Source organism: Homo sapiens, chromosome 8 (assembly GCF_000001405.40).
Source record: "Homo sapiens chromosome 8, GRCh38.p14 Primary Assembly".
Classification (NCBI taxonomy): Eukaryota; Metazoa; Chordata; class Mammalia; order Primates; family Hominidae; genus Homo; species Homo sapiens.
The window spans coordinates 11,246,742-11,273,685 of NC_000008.11; the positions used below are offsets into that span (position 1 = coordinate 11,246,742).

The following is a 26,944-nucleotide window of genomic DNA, read 5'->3' on the forward strand; positions in this document are numbered from 1 at the left end:
CTGGTAGTGTGTCCATGGGGGTCAGGAGCTTGAAATATTGTGCTACATATGCCAAGTATGCTCACTCCATATGTCTCTGGAGAGAGGAAAGACAAGCAGCTCCACCCCTTGCTGTGTGGCTGTGGTCAATTTACTTGACCTCTCTGAGCTTATTCTATAATTAGTAACGCTGACCTCATATTCCTAATGTATAGGTAGTTGTAAGGATTAGATATTGCACACAAAGGACTTAGCTCAGTGCATGGTACTTAATAAAGGATGAATAAGCTATATGATAAACTATTCATTTTTTATACAGTATCGGATCATTCTCTTTTCAAATTTTCCACTAGAGGGTGCCAAACACTAGCCTGAAACTTGGAAAAACTGTTGTCCAGACTCCCCCTGCCCCAAACACCCAATTTGTAAAACATGCTCTCAAGATCCTAAGCACTGGTGTCAGCAAAAAGACTTGGCAGACTCTCCATTTGCTTTCCTCTTCACCCCTGAGAGGTCCTACACCTAAAATAAAGACGCTCAACTTCAAGACTGTTAGTTTTAATTAAACACTTCTTACAGGTGCATAGATAGTGTTAACTGTGATGTTGCCATGGCTTTAAATCAGCTGCATACACAAGACAGAGCTGCAGGGGCCGCCTGCCCCTGAGGCAGGCAATGAGGGATGTTTGTAGAGAATTTAAACACAATAACACAGCTGACTAAAAGTCAGTTCGCTTGTGATATCACCAAGTGCTAGCAACTCTAAATAACATCAGTGATAAAATACTGTTCTGCAAAAAAAAAAAAAAATCTTTTGTTGTTCAAAGTTCCAAATAATCTCTGCAGACATGATGGCATCTTAGCAATATGTATGTAAGCTTCAATTTGATACATTTCTTACTTACCATTAATAATTTTAATATATCTGGAAGTTAATTCAGAGAACTCCATGTGGTACAGAAGCGTCTTCCTAGTGGACTCAGCCACATACATTTTGTTGTTATCTGTTCACACACAGCGCCAGCCCGGAGTTTGCACCTTGAGCGACAACTGTCTCCAACCCCTACATCTAAATAGTAAATTCAAAACAAACCATAATAACTGTGATTGTAATGATGAAAGGAGTAGACCTTGGGTTATCTTACTTTTGTCATTTTATGTGATAAAAAATTTTAAATTTGTATTTAAACTTTAAAACCAAAACAGGCAGAGAATCATGAGGTCAATTTTTTACTGGCAAACTGCAAATTTAGTTCATATGTGATGCGTTCCTAAATTTGAATAATATTCAAATGAAAAAGTACTCTTTCTTTCAATTGTGTTTTGAAACTAGAGATTGTTCAACTGGTCAATTTTTTAAAAATGAAGAAACTACAGACTGACTCAAGAAAATAATGATTGCTAATGATTGCATGATTATCACTATAAAAATAATTTTGATGTATGGGGAGGGTGTTAAAAACTCTCCACTCCAGGTGTCAACTGTTCTAGGTCTACTTTTGTCTTAAATCCCAACTAAGTCGCTTTGCACATCCAAGAAAGGAAGGCCGACTGCCCTGGGAGAGCCCCCAGTGATGCGCTGAGAAGAATCCTAGTTGTGGGCAGATGGGATTGGCTGCTCTCCTGAGCATACACACTGCCCCTGGACTCCTAAGCCCTCCAAGCCCTGTCTCTTCCACTCCTGCACCCCTGGAGACCTTTTATTTAAGGAGGCCCTATTTGGGAAGATCTCAGAGCACTTTACAAATACCAACTTTGGTCTACAAGTGGGAGGAAGTTTCAATCTCTGTATCCTAGATGAAGGGGCAGGCTCAGGCAAGGGAAACCCCATTGAAAGCCTTGCTTTGAGTGTGTTCTGGCTATGACCACACCATGATATATGCATGTTATTACACACAGACCTACGCTTCAAGAATGCATGAGCTACCCTCCCATGGAACTTGGTCAGTTATTATCCAGCAAAATAAATGGACAACTTTTCTATTCCCTTCTCCTTTGCATTGTTGCAGTGTTTCACATTCCCATCCCCAAATTAGAGGGATGAAAGAAAGCAAAAACATTCTTTCCTATCCATAGTACATGTTTCTAGAAACATAGCCAACTCCATTCCCCCAATAGCTACCAAGCTAGTAACAATTCATACCATTTATTAAGAGTAGAAGTACACACCAAATCAAACTGTTCTGTCTGCTTTATTTTTAATTCTTGCAGTAACTTCAAGCAAGTTGCAAAAACATCACCCAGCTAATGATACAAGGAGCCAGCCCTCTTTGTATCTTGGAGCACCAGGCATTCTTCCAGGCATGTATAGAAATGAGCTCAATCGGCCGGGCGTGGTGGCTCAGGCCTGTAATCCCAGCATTTTGGGAGGCTGAGGCAGGCGGAGCACGAGGTTAGGAAATCAAGAACCATCCTGGCCAAGATGGTGAAACCCCATCTCTACTAAAAATACAAAAATTAGCTGGGCGTGGTGGCGCATGCCTGTAGTCCCGGATACTCTGGAGGCTGAGGCAGGAGAATCGCTTGAACCAGAGAGTCAGAGGTTGCAGTGAGCTGAGATCACACCACTGCACTCCAGCCTGGCAACAGAGCGAGACTCTGGCTCAAGAAAAAAAAAGAAAGAAAGAAAGAAAAAAAAGAAAGAAAGAAGTAAGCTTATTCTTCCCCCAACGCCCAAATCCTTTTTTTTTTTTTTTTTTTTTTTTTGGAGAGACAGAGTCTTGCTCTGTCGTCCAGGCTGGAGTCCAGTGGCGCCATCTCGGCTCACTGCAAGCTCTGTCTCCCGGGTCCATGCCATTCTTCTGCCTCAGCCTCCCAAGTAGCTGGGACTATAGGTGCCCGCCACCACGCCTGGCTAATTTTTGTATTTTTAGTAGAGACGGGGTTTCACCGTGTTAGCCAGAATGGTCCCGATCTCCTGACCTTGTGATCCACCCGCCTCAGCCCCCTAAAGCACTGGGATTACAGGTGTGAGTCACCACGCCTGGCCTCCTTTTTTAAGTTCTAAGTTTTCAAATTAAAATTGTGGTAAACTACACATAAAGTGACATTTACCATCTTAACCATTTCTCAGTGTACAATGTCATGGTCTTCAGCACATTCCCACTGTTGTACAACCGTCGCCACCACCCATCTCCAGAACTCTTCATCTTACAAAACTAAATCTCTGTACCCATTAAACAATTACTCCCAATCTTCTCTTCTTCTTCTTTCCCAAATCTTAAGTATAAAGCAGATAGTATTATTATCACCATCCCCATTTTTCAGATGAGGGAATGGAGGCATCGTGAGATTCAATAACTTCCCCTGATCACAGCTGGTTGGTGGCAGAGCTATGATTCAAAGCCAGGTGGTCAGGCTGCAGAAGTCATGGCCTCAACCACTGTGCGGCCTCAGGCACACCTCACAGAACTGTGCTGTGTTGTCTCTTCTGCTGTTGAGCCTATCTAGAAGATGTAGAAACGGTAGCTTAGAAAGTTAAAGCAAATTGCAGTTTCTTCCTTGTAAAGGCCAAGGGGGCTCTGTGTTGAGACCGCTTGGATCCCAGGATGGTTAGCCTGCACCTCCTCTTAGATTAGAGCAGTGACCCTGTCCTTGGTCCCATCCACATCCAAAAGCAGCTCTGGTCCTCTCCCCTCAGTCCCGAGTGCAGCCTGTGGGTTCCAGCTTGCCTGTGACTAGAGAAGTGAACTCTGCCCTTTGGCCAGCAGATAACAGGCTAGGCCCACCTGGGATGTTCTTGCTCAGCTGCACATAGCTGGGGGGATGTAGTCTGTGCTGGAACAGCCTGTGCTCCCTGTCACTGCTAAGAAAGCCCCTCTTCTGCCATTGGGCCAGCGCTGCTAAGGCAGGAAAACTTCCTCCTCCACACCTCCATCAGCTTCTATCAAACACAGAATGGGAGACTGAGCTGGACCCTTACTTAGCACCTGTGTTCAAGGAAGGGGTGCTAGGAAGATGGCATACCCCCTCCCCCATAAACAGATACTTATTTATTTATGTTGGCACGTTGGTCCTATTTTCAGCCATTAAAATGAATAGCCCTGAGGAAGAGCAGCTTCACTATGAGAGGACTTAATAAGAAGAGAATTTTTCCCCAGTTGACCAATGTAAGCTTGAAAGCCAACCTAGAAGAGAAAGAACTTTAAAACTCTACATCTGTTTAATCAGCACACCTTATTTTACCCAAAATAAACTCCACCACTGACCTCTGCTCACTCCACCACCGTAGCCCAAGCCCTATTGTCCCTCACCTGTACAGGCCCCTCAACCCTGCTACCTCCCAGACTATTCTCCACAGGCAGCCAGAAACAGCCTCTAAACTGTCAACCAGATTCTGTAAGATCAGGAATGAGACAAGGATGCCCACTCTTGCCACTTCTGTTCAATACAGTACTGGAAATTGTAGCCATAGCAATTACGCAAAAAAAAAAAAAAAAAAAAAGCCAAATGAAAAAAAAGGGAAGTGGCCGGGCTCACGCCTGTAATACCAACACTTTCGGAGGCCGAGGCAGGCGAATCACGAGGTCAGGAAATCGAACCATTCTGGCTAACGTGGTGAAACCCCGTGTCTACTAAAAATACAAAAAATTAGCCTGGCGTGGTGGCAGGCGCCTGTAGTCCCAGCAACTGGGAAGGCTGAGGCGGGAGAATGGCGTGAACCCGGGAGGCAGAGCTTGCAGTGAGCGGAGATCATGCTACTGCACTCCAGCCTGGGCGACAGAGTGAGACTCTGTCTCAGAAAAAGAAAGGGAAGTAAGTTTATCCCTGTTTACAGGTGATATGATCTTATATGTAGAAAACCCTAAAGATTCAACAACAGCAAAAAAACCTGTTAGAACTAGTAAATGCATTTAGCAAATTGCAAGGTACAAAATCATCACACAAAAATCAGTGCATTTCTATACACCAACAATGAACAATCCAAAAAGGAAATTAAGACAACAATCCTATTTGTAATAGTATCAAAAAGAAAAGAATATTTAGGAATAAAATCTAGGAGGCAAAAGGCTTGTACACTAAAACCTACAAAATATTGCTGAAAGGCATAAAAAGACACACACACAAAAAGTGCAAAGACATCCTGTGTTCATGGATTGGAAGACGTAATATTGATAAGATGTCATACTACCCACAACAATCTATAGACTTAATGCAATCTCTACCAAAATTCCAACATTGTTTTTGTCAGAAATAAAAAAATCTATTCTAAAATGCATATAGAATCTCAATGAACCCTAAACAGCCAAAACAAACTCAAAAAAGAGGAACAAAGTTGGAGGTCTCACATTTCCTCATTTCAAAGCTTACTACAAAGCCACAGCAATCAAAACAATGTGGTACTGGCATAAAGACAGACATATAGACCAATGGAATGCAATAGAGAGCCCAGAAATGAACACTTGTGTAGATGGTCAAATACTATTTGACCAGGGTGCCAAGACCATTCAGTGGGGGAAAGCATGGTCTTTTCAAGAAATGGTGCTGGGAAAACCGGATATCCACATAGAAAAGAATGAAGTTGAACTGTTATCTTATACCGCACACAAAAATTAATTCAAAACAGATCAAAGACCAAAATATAAGACCTAAAATGATGAAATTTTTTTAAGAAAACATACAGCAAAATAATGTCTTTATGATATTGCTGGGCAATGACTTCTGGTTGATCACACTGAAAGTCAAGCAACACAAGACCAAATGAGTAAATTTTACTCCATCAAAATGTAAAACTTTTCTGCATCAAAGTACACAATCAACAGACCAAACTCCACAAGTCAACTCATGGGATGGGAGAACATATTTGCAAATCATATATCTGATAAGGAGTTAATATTTAGTGTGTATAAAGAATATTACAACTCAAAAATGCAAAACCAACAATTCCTTTTAAAAAATGGACAAAGGACTTGAATAGACATTTCTCCAAAGAAGACATTCAAATGACCGACAAGTATATTAACAGATGCTTAATACGACTAATCATTATGGAAATGCACATCAAAATCAGATATCACCTCACACCCTCACATATCATTAGGATGCCTACTACCCCAAAAACAGAAATACTGTGCATTGTTGAGCACGTGGAGAAATTGGAACCCTCATGCACTGTTAGTGGGAATGCAGAATGATTAAGCTGCTCTTAAAAGCAGTACGGTGGTTCCTCAAAAAATTAAACATAGAATTACCACATAATCCAACAATTCCACTACTGGGGAGATGCCCCAAAGAACTGAAAGCAGAGTCTCGAAGAGACATTTGCATACCCGTGTTCACAGCAGCATTATCCATAATAGCCAAAAGGTGGAATCAACCCAGGTGTCCATCAATGGATGAATGGATGTACAAAATCTGGTCCGTCCATGCAAGGAGCATTATTCAGCCTTAAAAGGGAAGGAAATCCTGACCAAAGCTACAACATGTATAAATCTCAAGGACATTATGTTAAGTGGAATAAGCCACACACCAAAGGACAACACTGTATAATTCCACTAATACTCAGCACCAGAGTAGTCAAATCCATAGAGACAGTAAGTAGAACAGGGGTGGCCAAGGACTGGGGAGAGGTGAGTGGGAGTTGGCGTTTAATGAAAACAGAGTTTTAGTTTGGGAAGATGAAAAAGTTCTGGAGATGATGGCAGTGGGGGCTGCACAGCAGTGTGGTTGTACTTAAAGCCACGTACACTGAAAAAATGGATAAAATGGCAAATATTATGTTATGTGTGTGTTTGCCACATACCCCCAAAAAATCAGTCAGACTGTGTGACATACCTGCTCTCAGCCCTCACTCAGAATACAATCCAAGTTCCTTCCTCAGTGGAGCAGGCCTCACACTCCAGCCACACGGCCCCTCCTGTCTCACTGGCCCAGCATGTTTCTGCCCCAGGCCCCTTGCAGTCACTCTGTGTTCCCTTCGCAGGCTCTTCTCCCTGGCCATTGCACGGCTCATTCCCATATTTAACTCAGGACTCTGCTCAATCCTCACTGCTTTTGGCCACCCTATTAAAATGGCACATCCCTTCAACCCCATAGCACACCTTATTTTTCTTCATGAGTTTCATCAGTGCCTGGGATTATCTTAACCACTCATTTATCTGTTCATTATTTGTCTCCTCCAGTGGAGTGTGTGCTCCATGCAGTCAGGGCCTTTGCCTTGCTCACTGCTGTGTTCCCTGGGGCCTAGAATAGTGGTGGCCCATAGCAGAATTCAGGAAAGAGGAGTCCAACAAAGAATGAATGGATAACGCCATGCAACGGATGTGTTGGTGAAATTGACAGAGGTGGTAGAATTGAGGGCGACTGATGATGGAATGAAGCTCCCACAAGATCTCGAGAGTCGATATGCTGGGCTAAATGACTAAGATGAAGCTTAGCACGGGTGCTAAGGCTGCACTTGGGTCAAAAGCACAACTGAGTACAGGATGAGGAAGAAGTTGTTTCACAGCAGCTGCACAACTAGCAAACACCTGGAAGCTACAAAATGGTGGGAAGCTCACAGTGGGATAGATGGGCCTGCAGAAACACCCCGTGATCTCAGGCTGCATGGGGTGGGTGGAGCAGGTGGCTGGTGTGATCTGCAGGAGGCACCTCATGGGGCAGCCCTGTTAGTCCTGGGCTTTGCACTTAAGCACTCAGAGGTTATTCAAGTACATCTTGACCATAGGGACCTGGATGGTAAAGGCATTCAAAATTACATCCTCAACAATACATAGTTTCAAATAGCTCAAAGGAGGGTATTGAACATTCCCAATACAAAGAAATGATAAATGTTTGAGATGATGGATATGCTAATTACCCTGACCTGATCACTATACATTACATGTATAGAAACATCACTATGTACCCCATGAATATGTACAATTATTGTCAATTAAAAATTAAAAATCATACTCTATAAAAAAAGAATAGAAGGAATGTTTAGCCCATAGATGGTAGATTTGACAGCCAGACAGAACTGAATCAAATCCTGGTTCTGCCTTTTATTAGCTGCAGGACACAGGCAGAATTCTTAACCTTAGTAGTCTCTAGTTGTATGACTGCCAAGACCAGTGCCATAAAAGTAAAATATAACTGTTTGATTTTGTAGTTATACACAAAGGCTTGTACTGTGTCCTGTAGAAAATTTGAAGAGTCATCCTTTAAAAACATATATCCATAGTCTTTGCTGAAATTGCCAATGAAATGTACTTTACCAGGGTCCCAATATCGTGTACAAAATGTAGCATTGAAACTTAATGCCCACTTTTTATAAATGTTTATCTATAGATGGGCATCTCAATTTGAGGCAACACATATACGATCAGAACTAACAGTGAATATAAATGATGGAGTATCATGATAGTAGAATCAGATAGAATATTTAGAATAGAAACAGCCCTAAATGAATAACAACTTCTGTGTCTCTTCTGCTAGATTGTTTATAACTTAAAACAGTTCTGTTCTGGATGATCTTGGTAAATCATATGCTTGCATCATGACTGAAATCATCTTGAAAAACGTTTTTTAAGCTGGGAGTGGTGGCTCATGCCTGTAGTCCCAGCTACTTGGGAGGCCAAGGCAGGAGGGTCACTTGAGGCCAGGAGTTTGAGACCAGCCTGAGCACCATAGCAAGACTCCATTCCTATAAAAAAATTAAAAATTAGCTGGGCATATCTGTGGATGCCTGTAATCCAAGCTACTCAGGAGGCTGAGGCTGGAGGATCACGTGAGCCTAGGAATTGGAGGCTGTAGTGAGCTGTGGTCTCACTATTGCACTCCAGCCTGGGTGACAGAGAGAGAACTTGACTCCCAAAAAAAACAAAAAAAAACAAAAAGAAAAAACAAACAAACGAAAAACTCTGTAGGTGGTACCTTTCAGAAGTGTTCCTTTTGGGATACAAAATTAATTTGGATCCCCAAATACAAATTATTTCATATAAATTGGGGCACCCCAGGTTCTACAGTGGAGTCGCTGCAGTGGCTGATGAAGAGGACACAGAACAAGAGTCCTTCCCCTGGGATTTGAATGCTGGTTTTCCTCATCAGGGGTTTGTCCTTCATGGCTCCAGCTTTCAGTGGAGTCAGGTACAAGCAAGTGATGACATGCTGATGCAAACACTGGACAATGCAGTCTGGATTTTTTTTTTTTACAAAAGTGGAAATATCAGAATGTGACAACTTAGAGTGACCATATAATTTATCACCCAATTGGAATACCTTAGAGAGTGAGGGAAGCGGGAGAGGGTGAGTATGAATAGCTGCACTGGGACCACAAGCGTAAACCAACACTGTCCTTTGTCACTGCTGTGGCCGAAGCCATGAGGATATTCAGGCTTCGGAAGAGGCTCGCCACGAGTGCCTCCACGGTAGCAAGAAGGTCTGGCTGGACCCCAGTGAGACCAGTGAAATCGTCAACGCCAACTCCCATCAGCAGATCCGGAAGCTGATCAAAGTTGGGCTGATCATCCACAAGCCTGTGACTGTCCATTCCCAGGCTGGATGCCAGAAAAGCACCTTAGCCCACCAGAAGGGCAGGCACATGGGCACAGGTTAGCGCAAGGGTACAGCCAATTTCCAAATGCCAGAGAAGGTCACTTGGATGAGGAGAATGAGGATTTTGCACTGGTTGTTTGGAAGATACCATGAATCTAAGAAGACTGATCACCACATGTATCACAGCCTGTACCTGAAGGTGCAGGGGAATATGTTCACAAACAAGCAGATTCTCATGGAACACAACCACAAGCTGAAGGCAGACAAGGCCCACAAGAAGTTCCTGGCTGACCAGGCTGAAGCCCGCAGCTCTAAGACCAATAAAGCAAGCAAGCTCCGTGAAGAGCGCCTCCAGGCCAAAAAGAAGGAGATCATCAAGACTTTGTCCAAGGAAGAAGAGACAAGAAAAAAAGCTTCCCCTTTTTCTGCACATCCTGGCCACTGTGATTACATAGATCTGCCATTAAAATAAAACAAGCCTTAAAAAAAAAAGAAAAAAAAACAGGACTGCCCTGAGAAAACTAGGACGTATGGTCACGCCAAGTGGAGTCCCTTCATGGGGATATGGCGTTGAGATGCACAGGCCTGCCAGGAGCTGTTTCATAAGGATTCAGTGCTTTTCTTGCACAGGGGAATGAATTTTGATGAGTATGAAAGATGAGTGAAAGGACCAAGACATTCCAATTCCACCCACTAGATTAGACAGTTTGGTTTTGACAGTTCTGTCCATCTATTTTACATTTTCCAGGTTTGGGAAATGCAGACATAGATACAGATAGTAACATTTTTCAGTGACTCAGTAGCCCCTGATAGCCACAAGAGCTTGGCACGGGTTGAAGGCATTCTCCAGGTGGGAACCAAGGAAAAGCTGTATGAATGTCTTTGCAAAAAGATAAAGAGATGCTTTGCAACAAAAGAGGGCTCCACCACTCTGAAAACACAGTAGGACATATTCGTTAAGTGTCTGAAATCCAAGTCATCTGGACCCGGCACGCTCCCTGATGCCTTTGCCACACCTTTACAGATATTCCAGGGTTATGCTGCTTGCAGGTGACACAATTAGTTATATAAATAAACATGAAATAAAATTTATCTCCAGTGTTTTTGTACCCAGGTGCTGATTCTTGTCTTTTTTTTATTTTTGTTTTTATTTTATTTTTTTGAGACAGAGCCTCACTCTGTCACCCAGGCTGGAGTGCAGTGGTGCCATCTCAGCTCACTGAAACCTCTGCCTCTTCGTTCAAACATTTCTTGTGCCTCAGCCTCCTGAATAGGTGGGATTACAGACATGCACCGCCACTCCTAGCTAATTTTTGTATTTTTGGTAGAGACAGGGTGTTGCCATGTTGACCAGGCTAGTCCTGAACTCTTGACCTCATGCGATTTGCCCTTCTTGGCCTCTCAAAGTGCTGGGATTGCAGACGTGCACCACCATGCCTGGCTAATTTTTGTATTTTTAGTAGAGACAGGATACTGCCATGTTGGCCAGCCTGGTCTAAAACTCTTGGCCTCATGTGATCTGCCCACCTCGGCCTCCCAAAGTGCTGGAATTACAGGTGTGAGCCACTGCGCCAGACCTGATTCTTGTCTTTCTAGCGTGTGTATGTCTCCCCAGCAACGGGCACGTGCATTGGTCTAGGCACCACCAAGGGGCTGTTTTAGAAAAATCAAACATGGTGGAGATTCAAAAAAATCTGTCAGGTTGTGAATTTGGGGCTAGATCTTGGAAACAGCATCAGAAAGTAAACTAAAATCCAGAGGAAGGGAACTTTTAGGGCAGTGAAACTATTTCCTATGTTACAATAATAATGGATACACATAATATATTTGTCAAAACCCAGCAAATGTACAACTCAAAGAGTGAAGCCTAATATAAACTACAGGCTTTAGTTAATAATAATTCTGTATCTTTTTTTGGTATTTTTATTTTATTTATTGGTAACTTTTTAAATTTTAAATTTGTAAATTTTTTTCTTGATAGTGTTGGTGAAAATCTTTTTGAAATATATTTTAATTCTATTTTTTCAATTGATAAATAATAATTACACAAATATGACAAATAATTTATGGAGTATGTAGTGATGTTCTCATAAATACAACGTGTAGACATCAGGTCACGGTAATTAGTGCATCCATCATCTGAAACATTTCATCACTTCTTTGCATTGGGAATGTTCAATATTTTCCCTCAGCTATTTGAAACAATATATTATTGTTAACTATCATCATTCGTATAGAACGCTAGATCGTATCAGAATTGGTTTGTCAGTTATAACAAACGTACCACACTAATACAAGATGTAAATAATAGGGAAATGTGAGGGGGGAGCCTGGGCAGGGAGAGATATGTGGGAATTCTATACTTTCCAATCAATTCTTCTCTAAGCCCAAAATTGCCCTAAAAAATTACAAATCATGCCTCACGGAGGAGAATCATGTAAGATGCTGGCCCAGACACAGTGGGCATGGCTGTGCCCATTCCTTCTCCTTCATTCATACCACACACCTGTGTCAGGGTCCTGGTGGCGCCACCATACATTGCTAGCTAGTGCCAGCGCAGGGTCTGAGCCTCTTCAGTGGCCACGCCTGCCAGCAGGCTCTGATGGGCTACCCCCACGTCCTGCACCCTTAGACTGCTTGATGCCTTGCCCAGGATGGCCACTGCGGTTACCCCTGAGTGACTGGGGTGAAGTGGATCGGAAATGCCTCCCCTGCCATCTGCAATGCATTTCAGGAATCTCTTCCAAAGGTCCTGAAAGTTTGAGCAGCAACTGCACTGGCTGTGACTGCCTTGATGACCCCCCGCCGTGGGCTGGCTTTCTACCTTCCTCTGAGTCACTCCTCCTACCCCTCACTCCTGCTCCCTAGGACGACTTCCCAGAAAAAGTCCTGAATGCAAGTCTTCACCCCAGACTCTGCTTAGGGGAAGAGACACATTTAAGTGCATTTAAACCTGTACGTGTAGGCATGTGTCACACCAAACAATGTTAAAATGACAACACTACTCAGCCCTTTGAAATTTGAATTTTCTAAACAGAACTAATCTTATCAAGTATATTAGGTCTATTTGTACTATCTTCATTTGAGTGTTATAAATATATATATATGTTTCTATGGGCAAAAAGACATAAGCCAAAACCACGAGCATGTACTTTCTTTCTCTTTGTTTATAATTTAAAATATTTTCCTTGGAAAATTTCCAGATACATAAAGACTATTCTCTAATTACTTCAGCTGATAATCAGCTAAAGGTCTCAAGTCAGTTAGGCATCTTAGAACATCTATTTTAATTTGACATTAAAGAAAATATAATCACTGTAATTATTAGAAATAAAACTCTTTAAAACTCCCACAGTAAAGGTGAAGTGATTCTATAGGCTCACCTAACTAGCAGTGTTTTATATGAAGACATCAATTGTTACAGCTTTCATTAAATAAATACATACGTTTACATTTCTAGTCTTAAATATATGGTGTTAGCACTGATAACCTACCTGACAAGTAGAAGGACCTTAGGATATTCTATTTAGTTAAGCTTGAGATAAGATGATAATTCCAAAATTATGCATAAAGAGTTACATTTATACTATGTTCTTACACCGTGATAAAATCAAAGAGAAAATATGTAGCTATCTATTTTGCCAAGATCTATAATTCATTAAGTATGCATGATGGATTTTTATATAATTCTTCTGTATTTATTTTTAGTAAGTAATACTGAATTCCTTTACATTTTACCTAAATTTCTAACACGGAAGGGTGTTTTGTGAAGCCGTCATCTGACTACTAATTGGTGGCTTAATGATTATTTACACCTCTTTCTTCTCTTGTAATTCAACAGTAGGAAGTCCATGTTATTAAACTAACATTTGCATTTTTCCTTTTTCTGATCCAAAAGCTTTTTAGAGAGAGATGTAATTTAATATTAGAAAACAGGAACACTTTTCACAGTTCTATTAATGACTTAATTGTTTATACATAGTTTAAATTTTTTTAATTTTATGCTAATTAGGGTAATATATACCTTTATTTTTATCATCTTAACCATTATGAAGTTTATAGTTATAGATGTTAAGTATATTCACATTGTTTTGAAAGATATATACTTTTGATGAATGTCTTAATAATTAAATTAATTTGAAAAAATCTGTTCTCATTTGAAAATCTCCTTTTCCAAGAAGGAAACTATTGGATGTTTCAGTTTCCAGAAGACAGATTTCTTTAAACCCTTTAAAATATCCATACGTGTCATTACAATATATAGCTTTTCAGCTAGGTGCATTTAGGCAAATTTCACACTTTATTTCTGTCAGGTGGAAAGGTTTTCCTAAAGGGCCACGTGTCTAAAGCATTTTGTGTTTTGGCATAATTTCTTAAACTTTTTTGCGCTTTGGGGGGTCTGAGATTCTTTATCTTATTCATTAATGTTCTTTTTAACTTCTAGAAACCATCAAAATAGGAGCTGTATTGAATTTGCAAGACTTTCCAACTGTATTTGCTAATTCCCTTGGGAGACAGACTATCCCAACTATTCCCATTTTCATTTCTGCACCATTTTGTTAGCTGTGGTAGGGATGTAATCAGTTCACACATCTGGTATCGCATGGATTGGCTAGTGTTAAAGGTTTCACAAATTACTACGAACACTTTTTATTTTTGAAATTGAAGGGCTCTTAATTAGTTTAAAAATAGCTATCAACTTGCTTATAACCAGTATTTGTATGTTGCTACTTGTTCTCTTCCTAAAGGTGGGGAAGTGACATTTGACAACAGAGACCTATCTCCGAAAGAGTTATTTGAGAAAGGGTGTTGTTGGATCAGTCGGACTTCCTGTCCTGATTGCAGTAGTGGGTGGGGTGAATTTCCTTCTAGCAGCGTGGAAAAGGGGCATGGGAATCAATGCAGGTGGAACAGTGGTTCCTGATGTGACGTAGGCAACCATTGGACATTGGGCTTTTTTACATCCTCAGATTCAAGAGCCTCTTGAAAATGTCTCATTTTGATCATATCGAGTTCTGTCTGTGAAAGCGATGGCAAGTCTGGGTTAACTAGTGAACTAGTCTAGTCGAGTTAGCTTAAGACTCTTTCTTATAATGCATGGACATGTAAAAATCAGGAATTTCTTGGTGAAAAAATTTGTTTCCTTAGAACCAGAACAACCCATAATGCAAACGCATAAAAAAGATTTGCAAATTGATGTCCTCAGTCTCTCTAGATACATTTCAGGTGTTCAAGATCCACGTATAGCTAGTGGTGACCATATTGACATCATGGAAATACCTACTGGGCCGTGCTGGTTTACACCATACTCTCTGAAACACCGCTTAGGCATTCACCCCATGATTCTGTGTATGACTGCTTTTAGTAGCTGCTGCTGCTATTTGCTACCACGAAGGCCGCCTCCTCCTCCCGTGGTCGGTAGGTAAGTTTAGGTTCTTGATCTCACCACACAAAAGAATTTGAGAGTGACTCCAAAGGAAGAGTAGCCAAAGAAGCTTATTGTAAAGCGAAAGTACCCTCTGAGAGGCTGAGTGGGCTGCTTAAAGGGAGAGACAGCAACTAGTGCCTTCAGAGGAATTCCTTTTGCGGGAATTGTTCGTATATATTCATAAAATACTGGTGAGGTCAAGTACGTAAAGACAGACCTGCGGTTGACACATGCGCTCAGCATCTGCATGCTGTAACATGCAATGCATGTATCATTAGCATATAAAATCTCCGCCTAGGGGTGTGTTTTTTTACTATTAAAATGAAGAAAAGGTTACTATGAGCTAAACCTTGAGCCTAGCTGCACAGGTGGGACCCTGGAGCAATCCTCAGCCCTCCTGCCCCAAGGCAGTAATTTGCAGCTAATAGCTTCTTGGGTTTTGGATGCTGATTGGCTAGGTACTGGGGAAGCTACATTATGAATAAGTCTCTTTCCCGGGCTGTGCTAGCTATTAGGAACTTGTAACCATCAGGCAGTTGGCTGGTGTCCTGCAGGACTGTTTATCTTGCAAAAGAGTCAGGCGCTGACGTAAGAGGGTGCAAGGGATGCGGAGCCCACTAGGCTTTACGCCAGGGGAAAAGTCAGTAAGTGAGTATGGCCTCCTAACCTTCCTTATCCTGCTTCACTCCTCCTTACTTTTCTTTTTGTGGCCGTTTTATTGAGGTACAGTTTACATACTGTACAATTCATCAGTGTAAAATGTACAATTCAGTGGTTTTTAGTATATTCACAGAGCTGTGCAACCGTCACCATAATCCACTGTAAACATTTTCATTACCTCAAAAAGAGACTCCCATTTGCTTTAGTCTTCACTCCCCAATTCCCCCATACTCCTGGCTCTAAGCAACTACCAATCTATTTTCTGTCCCTTTATTTTGCTTATTCTGGACATTTCATATAAATGGATCATGTCATGGGTGGTCTTTCGTGACTGTTTACCTCCCATGATATTTTCAAGTTTCATTCATGTTGTAGCGTGTATCAGGACTTCATTTCTTTTTGTGGCCAAATAATATTTCATTTTATGGATATATCACCTTTTGTTTGTCCATTCACAGTTCATAAATATTTGGGTTTCCATCTTTTGCTTTATGACTAATGCTGCTATAAATATTCATGTACAAGTTTTCATATGGACATACGTTTTCATTTCTCTTGGGTGTATACCTACTAGTGGAATTGCTGCTCAAATGGTTACTCTATGTTTAGCTTTTTTGAGAAACTGCCACACTGTTTTCCAAAGTGACTGCATCGTTTCTACATTCTCACCAGAAATGTATGAGGGTTCTAATTTCTCCATATCCTCACCAAAGTTTATTATCTTTTTGATTATAGCCATCATGGTAGGTGCTAAGAGGTATCTTCTTGTGGTTTTTAATCAAAAAACGAGTGTTAGGTTTTGTCAAGTGCTTTTTCTGCATCTATTAATATGAGCATGTGGCTTTCGGTTTTTATTCTATTGATAGGGTCTGTTACAATAATTAATTTACAGGTGTTAAGCTAACCTTGCCTTCCTGGAATAAATCCCACTTGGTCATAGTGTATGATTCTTTTTATATGTCACTGGATTTGATTTGCCACGATTTTGTGGAGGATTTTTGTATCCATAGTAATAAGAGATAGTGATCTGTAGTTTTCTTTTTTTGTGATGTCTTTGGTTTTGGAATCAGGGTAATACTGACATCATAGAATGAGCTGAGAAGCATCCCTTCTCTCCCGTTTTTTGGAAAAGTTTGTGAAAAACTGATATCGTTTCTATAATTCTAATAATTTAAGTCTTCTTTCTTATGTCTTGGTTGAATTCTGTTATTTTTGTTTACCTTTCCAAAGAACCAGCTTTTGGATTCACTGATTTTTCTTTACCATTTTGTATTCTCTATTTCATTAATTTCCATTCTAATATTTACTATTTCCTTTCTTTTTTGAATTAGGTTTAGTTTGGTCTTCTCTTTCCAGTGTCTTAAGATGGAAGTAATTGTTCTGAGTTTTTTTTCTTTTTTAATATAGGCATTTACTGCTATAATTTTTCCTAGGCAGTTCTTCAGCTGAATTCCATAAGTTTTGGAATGTTGCGGTTTCCATTTTAATTCAGTTCAAAGTATTTTCTAATTTTCAGTTTGATTTTTCTTTTGACCTACTGGCTATTTAGGAGTATGTTGTTCAATTTCTACATATTTGTGGGTTCCCCAAATTACTTTATGTTTTTGATTTCTAATTTAATTCCAGTGTGGTTGGAGAAGATACTATGTATCATTTCAATCCTTTTAAATTTACTGAGGTTTGTTTTATGACCTAGCATAAAGCCTTCCCTAGAGAACATTCCATATTCACTTGAAAAGAACATACATTTTGCTATTGTTTGATAGAGTGTTCTAGAGCTATAGCAGATTTTTTGAAACTCACTCAGGAAAATCTCAAATGTGTGCAGAAGTAGAGATAATAATATAATAATTGTGAGTTGAATTGTGTTCCTCTTCCAAAATATTGAATTCCTAGCCCCCAGTGTCTGTGAACAAAGGGTTTTTTGTGGGGAGGAGGCACATGATTAAGTTAAGATGAGGTAGTAGGGTGGGCCCTATCCAATATGATGGCTGTCATTTAAAATGGGAGAAATTTGGACACAGAGACAGTCATGAACACAAGAACACCATGTGAAGATGAAGGTGGAGATTTTGGAGATGTAACTACAAAGCAAGGAGCGCCAAAGATTGCTGGCAAACCACCAGAAGCCAGGGAAGAGGCATGCAACAGGTTCTTGTCCCTTAGAAGGAACCAATCCTGCTGACACCTTGATCTTAGATTTTCAGCTCCCAAAACTGTGAGACAGTAAATTTCTGTTGGGCCAGGTGCAGTGACTCTCGCCTGTAATCCCAGCACTTTGGGAGGCTGAGGTGGATGGGTCACCTGAGGTCAGGAGTTTGAGACCAGCCTGACCAACATGGCGAAACCCTGTCTCTATTAAAAATACAAAAATTAGCCGGGTCTGGTGGCAGGTGCCTGTAATCCCAGCTACCTGGGAGGCTGAGGCAGGAGAATCACTTGAACCTGGGAGGTGAAGGTTAGCGTGAGCCGAGATCACACCACTGCACTACAGCCTGAACAACAGAGTGAGACTCAGTTTCAAAAAAAAAAAAAAAAAAAATTATATTGTTTAAGCCACTCTGTTTATGGAAAACACTTACGTACTCAGCACTCAGATTCAACGACCTTTCAGCCAGTTGTATCTTCACCACAAGCCAGAGCTCAGTGGCTCCCAGGCATTATAACAACACGGACCCTCTGGTCAATGTTGGACTTTCAGGTGAGAAAGTTTAAAGGCAAAAAGACATTTTGGCATGCTGCCACAGTGTCCTTTGGTCAGGAGGTGAAAAGCAAGTTCTGAGTATTGGACTTCCAAAACTGTAAAAGACAAAAAGTCAACACAGTTGAGCTGATGGGGTTTGGCTCTGTGTCCCTACCAAATCTCCTGTCGAATTGTAATCCCCAGTGCTGGAGGTGGGGCTGGGTGGGAGGCGATTGGCTCGTGGGGGTGGAGTTCTCATGAATGGGTTAGCGCCGTTCCCTGGGTGCTGTTCTCGTGATAGTGAGTGCGTTTTGGTGAGATCTGGTTGTTTAAAAGTGCGCAGCACCTCACCACTCACTCTCTTCTTCCTGCTCTGGCCATGTGAGATACCTTGCTCCCCTTTTGCCTTCTGCCATGATTAAAAGCTTCCTGAGGTCTCCCCAGAAGCAGAAGCCTCTATGCTTCCTGTACAGCCTGGAACCATGAGCCAAGGAAGCCAATCTTTTCTTTATAAATTATGCAGTCTCAGGCATTTCTTTCTAGCAGTGTGAGAAGGGACTGATCCATGAGGCTTGTCAAAATTTTATGGTATGCATAGTAGACAATCAAATACCAGATTGTCTGAGGATCTTGGCGGAAGGATTTTTAGTGCAGAATTAGGTTGTTGGTCAAAATGATTCTATAATGTTACACTGTGTGAAAGTTGTCAGAATGAAAATGGAGTTGCTTGTGTTAAAAATCTAAACAATAGACCCAGCGCAGGGCATGAAGGGAGGAGGATTCCCAAGCACAAATGCCTGATAAGAGGAATTATCACACAAGTCTGCAAAAATCACAACCTTGCATACAAATATACTTCTGCAAGGACATCTGCCCAGCAGCTGCCTGTCTGACCTCAGGCTGGCACAACCCTTATTATTGCTCCTTGTTGCCAAACATAATTATCTTAAAACAATTATGCAGCCCTCCTCATTTTTCTTCAAAAAAACCTTTGTCTTCTTTTACCTCCTGAATATGCACTTAGTTTATTATGACACACATATTCCCATTGCAGTGTCCATTCCCACATAAATATCATTTTCTATTAGAGAGCCTCTCTGTCTGTCATTTAGGTTGGCAGTTGTCGAAGCATGACTTTGAAGCCAGATCTTAGCGTGTCTTTGTTGTCGGGTTATCAGGTACTCTATAGTTTTCTGTTTGGGTGCTATTAGTTAAGTAGAGATCATGGCAGATGGTAGTTACTGTTTGTAAAGCTTGCAAAATTCATATTTCTTCCAAAGTCTAACAGTCCCTTTTATTTCTTTAGACATATTTAAATTTTTATTTCAATTTCCATTCCAATATGCTCAGTGTTTTGGAATGCATTTCTGTTTCTTCTTCCTCCCAACTCTCGCTCAAATGATGGTTTCCTCTTGTGTCTTACAGCTTGCTGTTGTGAAATTCTGTGCTGTGGAACAAATCTGTAATAATTTTTTAATTTGAGGTGCATTCCTCGAGAGAAGATTGACAGTTGCTTTTGCAGGTACTGGATATATTAGCAATCCAGAATATCTTTTTTTGTTTTTGTTTTCTTGTTGTTGTTGTTTTAAAGACAGGGTCTTGCTCTGTCATCCAGGCTGGAATGCAGTGGCACAATCATAGCTCACTGCAACCATGGATTCCTGAGCTCAAGCAATCCTCCTGCCTCAGCCTCCTGAGTAGCTGGGACTAGAGCTGCACACCACCACACCTAGCTAATTTTTAAAACTTTTTTATAGAGATGGGGTTGCCCCGGCTGATCTTGAACTCCTGGGCTCAAGTGTTTCCCCTGCCTCAGCCTCCCAAAGTGCTGGGATTACAGGCATGAACCACCACATCCAGTACAGGATGTCTTTAAATTATGTTATCAGTTTGGTGTTTCCAGAATTCTTGGAGAGTAGAAATTCTGTCCCTAAACTTGTGTGATGGTAAAATACAAATTCTTAAACATGTTTTTCTCCCGTTTACTCAGAGGCAAAATCAAGGTAGACAAGTTTCCTTACTAACTCGTTAAGAAAGGCAGGATTTTTTTTTTTTTTTAGTATTACCCAGTGTGTGACTTTCAGGGTCTAAGCCTTATGTAAAATAAAAAGGTCTACAGTCAGACTTCCCACCTTCATTAATACCTGAGAAATTAATGAAATAGAGAATACAAATAAAGAAAAATCTATCAAGTGTGGGCACTAGATTTTGTCTCCTTTTCTCCTGAACTAAACCACGTAAATGGAATCTCCAGGTCCCCAGAGACTGGCAGATATTCCTTAAGCAAAACCGTTTCAATGTCCTTGCTTACCTTTCTGAATTCATATGTTCCATTATTTGTGGTCTTTAAGGATTTCTCTTTTACTTTTTGCCAGGCCAGCAATATATTTAATAATCTGTTGTTTAAAAAATATTTACACAATTATAGGTTTTTTTAAATCAAAAGTCTCATTATGATTCCTAAGTCTGCCATATTGCTAAAAATGGAAGGCTATAATGATTTTTCATACTGAGAGCTCTATCTCATCTGGAACTTATTTTTCTGATTAGTTTGAGGTTGAGCTAAATTTCATTTCTGCAGATTCTAACAGTGCAAGGAAAGGTAAAATGGGCCCTGAATGGGCGTTCTGTTAGGCACTTTCATGAGTTCAGCTTTAGGGGCAAAATGACACACGAAAGCAAAGATCAAGTAATAAAGAGTTGGCTTTCACAGTTTTGATGAATGTCTTCTATCCACCCTAGACCTGCTTCCTTTTGATACAAAAGGTGCAAAGTGACTGTTCTTCCCAGTGCTTTGTTCGCTACATTTCCCCTGCCTCATACCCGAGCTTTTTTCCGCTGAGCTTCATGCACAAGGACCTTCTATTTGATCTTCATGGTTCTTCCAGGTAAGGTGGGACCTGAAAAAAAGTGAAAGATCAGAAGGATGGGAAGACTTAAGGATTTTGGACTGAGTCTGGGTCCACATAAAGATAACCCAGGGCTGCTGATAAGAGTAAGTGTAGAGAAGTTGATCAGCAAATCTTATCCCATCTAAAGACAAAAACTTAGAATGCCAGGATAAATCCCAGTGCAATCAGCTTCAAAGAACTATCCTAATTCTTTGATGTATCAAATATGTGTTAAATAAGTAAGCGGTTGGCTAGGATTTCAAAACCTACTTTGTTCTAGAGAGATTTAAAGCATAACACATTTTCTTTCAGAAACGGGGTCTTGCTATGTTGCCCAGGCTGGACTGCAATGGCTATTCACAGGCGAGGTCACAGAACAGTACAGCCTTGAACTCCTGACGTCAAACAATCCTCCTGTCTCAGCCTCCTGAGTAGCTAGGACCGTAGGTGTTCGCACCACCATGCCTGGCTCCAGACAGCCTCTTTAGAAATGACAGAACATTAAATGAAGACTATCCACTGTTTAAAGGTTAAAATAGCTAGCCTTTTTTTTTTAATCCCTTCCTACCTTTTGATCAGAAAAGTTTGCTCTGTCTACTTTTTGAGGACACTGTATTTTATTACCATCCAAATATTAGAAATAACTTATATCTATGTGGTAGAAGTTCCAATATTCTATTTTTACTTTTTCCTGCAGCAAAGCCTAGATATTCTTTTCTGATACTCTGCTTCTCTCCTATGAAATCTCCCTTGTTTATTTCTCGCCATCTTGCTGATAATTATACAGCATTTTCGGGGGGGGGGGGTTCCCTAGTCCTAACTTGTAGACCTTCCAATAACTGTATACTTCTGATTGCTTTTACAGTTGCAATCACAGTATTTCCTCCCCCTCTTCGTGTCCTGATTCTGTACAGAATCAGAGAAGCTTCAGAGGCATTGTCTAACGAGAAGCAGAAGGCTTTTAGAGGCTGTCTTCAAGACCCATGCCTGGATGTTTTCCCCAAATAATCTTTTTTACTTAAAATGTCAGACCATAATAGAACCTCTAATTAAATGGTTGCTTTTATGCAAAGAATGGGCGGGGCTTGGGCTGGGTGTGGTGATGTGCATCTGTAATCCCAGCACATTGGGAGGCTGAGGCAGGAGGATCACTTGAGCCCAGGAGTTGGAGACCAGCCTAAACAACATAGCAAGACTCTGACTCTACAACAAAAAGTTTCAAAATTAGCTGAGCATGGTGATGTATGCCTACAGTTTCAGCTACTCAGGAAGCTGAGGGAGGAGGATTGCTTGAGCCTAGGAGTTCAAGGCTGCAGTGAGCTATGTTTGCACCACTGCATTCCTACACTCCAGCCTGGGTGGGAGGGCTGTTTGCTAATCATTTTATGTTTTCCCAAGCTGTTCCAAGAATTTGGCAGGGAGCTGACATCAACTTATCTGCCTATACTTGCTTTCCGAATAAACCACTGAAATACTGAAGCTGAAGACTTCTCACCTGTATCTAGGAATGGAACTGAGAATGGCATTACAAGGATTGGAAACATTTTAGTGATCATCTCAGATACCTGAAAGACTCACAGACTGAGACTGGTGGGGCTTCTCTAAAAGTCGCCATGGTATAATCTCACGCAGTGGCAAGATGGCAGGTCTTAGAACTGGGCACTATTCATTGAGCTGTTACCGTATAGAGGCATGGTGACAGCTGCAGCTTCAGAAACAACTGGCGAGCTTGTAGAACAAGCTTAGGCTCGCAGAGGTTCCTCTTTTTTTTTTTTTTTTTGTTTTTGAGACAGGGTCTCACTCTGCTGCCCAGGCTGGAGTGCAGTGGCATGATCTAAGCTCACTGCAAGCTCTGCCTCCCAGGCTCAATCAATCCTCCCAACTCAGCCCCCTAAATAGCTGAGACTACAGGCATGCACCATCATGCCCAGCTAATTTTTTTTTCTTTCTTTTTTTTTTTTTTTTTGTAGAAGTGGGGTTTTGCCATGCTGACCTGGCTGGTCTCAAACTCCTGACCTCAAGTGATCTGGCTGCCTTGGCCTCCCAAAGTGCTAGGATTACAGGTGTGAGCCACCACACCTGGCTGGCTCCTAGAGGTTCTGATTCGCTGGTTGGGGTCTGGGTCCAGGAATCTGCATGTTCCCCTGTGCTTACCCAGGACATACTGATGTGAATGCCTTTCACCCCATAGTTTAAGAAACACTGCCTAGGGTCAGTAATGATTGGCTGTCGCTGCCGAGGTAACCCCAAGGGGACGCTGATGATCAGGAGGCTCTGGAGCCAAAGTAGTCTAACAGGCTGTGGGAAGCAACCTAGCACCTGCAAGCCCTGCCTCCTGCATTTCAGACACAGGCAAATTAAAAGACTTGAGCAAATGCTAACACAGCTTCTAACAGCTCAAGGCCACAACCCTAGGATGTCCCTAGTTCCCCTTAAAGTGCCTCCTTGAAAAAAAAAAACACAAAAATTTAAGGCTGCCAAATGAGTTTACTGTTTGTTCTATCCAGTATCTGACATAGGTCTCTTACCTCCCTTTCTTAGAGCATTTACCAAAAGGAGCTTATAATTGTGAATCTTCCTCCATCTTTGAGAGGTACAGGTGTGTGATATGACTCAAAAGAGTCTCAAGGACCTGAAAGTGCTTCCCTTGAAATGTAACAATCAGCCAGGCGTGGTGGCTAATGCCTGTAATCCCAGCACTTTGGGAGGCCGATCACCTGAGGTCAGGATTTCGAGACCAGCCTGGCCAACATGGTGAAACCCCATCTCTACTAAAAATACAAAAATTAGCCGGGCATGGTGGTGCATGCCTGTAATTCCAGCTACGTGGGAGGCTGAGGCAGGAGAATCGCTTGAACCTGGGAGGTGGAGGTTGCAGTGAGCCAAGACCGTACCATTGCACTCCAGCCTGGGCAACAAGAGCGAAACTCTGTCTCAAAAAAAATAAAAAATTAAAAATAAAAGAAATGTAACAATCAGGAAGGACAGGGCCCCGTCTCCTGCTGCAGACACGGAGGATCTAATCGCATTGACACTAAGCCTTTGCAATTGTTCACTTCCCGGAATCTACCGATCCTCCTCCAGTCAGCGTCTGTACTCCCCCATTCCCCCTTTCAAATGCCCTGTGTACAAATCACAGTTGAGTTCAGCTCATGCTGGACTCTTTTTCCTATTGCAATAGACATTACTGATGAAGACCTGTCCAGACCAATTTAACTGGTGTCTGGCTTTGCTTGTTTTTGACACTGATGCTGATAGAATGCCTGCTGAAACCTTAGGCCAGGAGATGCTCTAAATTCAAAGTTATGAGAAACAGACTGTCATTGTTCATTCAAAGTGAAAACCTACAGGTACACACGGATACACACACAAACACAGGGATACACACACATGCACAGTTACGTCTGAACCAAGGAGAAAATGTGAAAGTGATTCCAGTGACTAAAGACTTCTCACCAGGGAAGAATTGACTGAAAATGCAGCAGAAAGCCAGCAGAGCAAGGAACTCCTCTCCTGGTGTCTATTCACATGCTCCTCCATTGCCCGGGAATGGGAAGTTGTAGAAAACAGAGACCAGAGGCCAGCCTGTGGGGTACATGTGTTGGGCAGTTCGCTGATTTTTCATTCTTCCCCTGTTTCTCACTCACTGTTTAAGGAAAAAGCCATGCCATGCCACTTGTTAAAGCACAGTAAGGAAGGCTTTATTCAAGACCGTTGTGATAGATGAAAGGACCTCTGCAGTTGCATGTTGCAGTGGTGGAGAGAGATTGAGCTCCACTCCAGACACAGCCTGGCCAAGTGGGTGGGGTGTGGGAGTGGTTAGTGGGGTGAAAATTACTAAGAGGAACCATCAGGGATATGAGGAATTTCGGCTGAACTAACGTAAGAGGATTCCTGCTGAAGGCAGGCAAGAGTGACCACACATCACCTGCTAAATGGTGGAGGAAGAGAAACCCGATTAGGTATTGAAGATGCGGGCGGCGGCGGGGGGGTGGTCCTCACTAAACAGACTTCGCAGGGCTCTTTACCAAAACTGGATTTTACAAGGAAGTGCACAGATGGTCCTACAAGAAGTTTCAAGACTCTAACTCAAGCTTCGCCAAGCAGTGAATCTTTGTCACCAATCCAACTCAAAAGTAAAAACTGAGCTAGACTAAGCAAATAAAGGGGAAGGACACATTGGCTGTAAAAAAAGAGTAAAAAAAGACTTGAGGGTTAAATTTTTTAAAAAAGGATTTTAGTCTCTGTCCTGCCACTAACTAGCTGTGTGCTCTTAGCTGAGTCATTTCATATCCTTGAATCTCGATCTCCTCACCTGTAAAACAAGCTGGTTAAATCGGAAGATCCAACTCCAACTCCATGCATGTGTATTTATCAAATGCTTATTATGTACCAGCTGCAAAGATAAATGAACCCCAGCTCTTGCCTTCACACGGGTAAAGGAGTTATGAGTGCTTGAAAGAGCATAATGAAAATTACTAGCCCGTAGATGGAGCCTGGGCAGGGAAGGAAATGATGTTAAATAAGGACCATGGAGACCCGAAGGCTCCCTGAGAAGGGCAGATTTATACTGAATGAAATTCAGGAAAAGGAAACCGCAGTCAAAAGGTGGAATTTCAGGATTTGAACATTTCAGATGCATAAAAGTTCTTGATGACAAGATGACAGTGCACACTTTAAATTATGAATGTGTGATTCAACAATTCTCATTTGAACTCCTACAGGTAACCCCTTAACAACGCAACAATCAAGTCCACAGCCGCAGTTGCTGTTGCCTAGTCTTTTGGTGACCTTAGGATCTAATCATCTTCAAGCTGGTAGATGACTATGCTTCCCAGTGTCAGGCCCATTAAAATTGATCCACCAACCCCGCCATTCCAGACCACGTGTGGTGCTAAACCTCCACTCATACTGGGTGTTTAGCTGTCAAATTCCAGAAATCCACATTAATGCCTGTTACACTGTAGCAGGTCAAAATTTGATATGTTTTTTCTTAATTTCACTTTTTAAAATCTTACTTTTGAAAAAAATTTCAGACTACAGGAAAGTTGAAACAACAGTACAATAAGCATGTTTAAACCCTTCACTCAGATTAACCAATTGTCAACAATTTGCCACATTTTTTCTCCGTGTGTGTGTGTGTGTGTGTGATATGGTTTGGAAGTGTGTCCCCACCCAAATCTCAGGTTGAATTGTAATCCCCAATGATGAAGGTGGGGCCTGGTGGAAGGTGATTAGATTACAGAGGTGGATTTCTCATGAATGCTTTACCACCATCCCCTTGATGCTCGTGATAGTGATTTCGTTCTCATATAAAAGTGTGTAGCACCTCCCCTTTCCCTCTTGCTCCTGTTTTTGTTATGTGACGTGCCTGCCCCCACCTTTGCCTTCTACCATGATTGTAACATTCCTGAATTCTCCCCAGGAGCCAAGGAGATGGTAGCACCACGCTTCCAGTAAAGCAAGCAGAACCGTGAGCCAATTAAACCTCTTTTCTTTGTAAATTCCACTGTCTCAGGTATTTATAGCAATGCAAGAACATACCAATACAGTGTGTACATACATACACATACATAACACATGCATACACACAGTACATATAATAAATATAGGTACACCCAGGTTGTCATAAACAATTGAAAGTAACCTGCAGCTATTATAACAGTTAATCTTCCAAGTTTCAATACACGACTGTGGAGAGAAAGGACGTGTTCCTCCATAACCGTCACGATTATCCTATCTAAGAATATCAACTTAACTCAATAATGTCATCTCCTGTACAACCATGTTCATGTCTCTTCCCAAATGTCTTCTGTGGCATGTTATTCC

General features: G+C 41.5%; 1 long non-coding RNA gene and 1 pseudogene across 1 annotated transcript in view, besides 2 other annotated features; one reads left to right on the forward strand and one right to left on the reverse strand.

Moving 5' to 3' along the window:
- Positions 1-522: 522 nt before the first annotated feature.
- LINC00529 (long intergenic non-protein coding RNA 529) overlaps positions 523-26,944 on the reverse strand; it is a 36,768-nt gene continuing 10,346 nt past the window's right edge. Inside the window, exons 4-5 of the long non-coding RNA NR_170283.1 lie at positions 21,048-21,124; positions 523-1,048 (exon numbers count right to left, since the gene is read on the reverse strand). This is a non-coding gene — a long non-coding RNA (long intergenic non-protein coding RNA 529). The remainder of the gene's footprint in view (positions 1,049-21,047; positions 21,125-26,944) is intronic.
- Positions 4,415-4,564: an enhancer, noted in NCBI's record as "active region_27002". NCBI's record gives its function as "activates an Ori minimal core promoter by ATAC-STARR-seq in GM12878 lymphoblastoid cells {active_cell/tissue: GM12878}" and the evidence as "EXISTENCE:reporter gene assay evidence [ECO:0000049][PMID:35858748]".
- RPL19P13 (ribosomal protein L19 pseudogene 13) lies at positions 9,249-9,937 on the forward strand (annotated as a pseudogene).
- Positions 15,279-15,573: an enhancer, noted in NCBI's record as "tiled region #9232; K562 Activating non-DNase unmatched - State 3:PromF, and HepG2 Activating non-DNase unmatched - State 22:ReprW". NCBI's record gives its function as "activates a minimal TATA promoter and a strong SV40 promoter by Sharpr-MPRA in K562 cells, with weaker activation in HepG2 cells {active_cell/tissue: HepG2 | K562}" and the evidence as "EXISTENCE:reporter gene assay evidence [ECO:0000049][PMID:27701403]".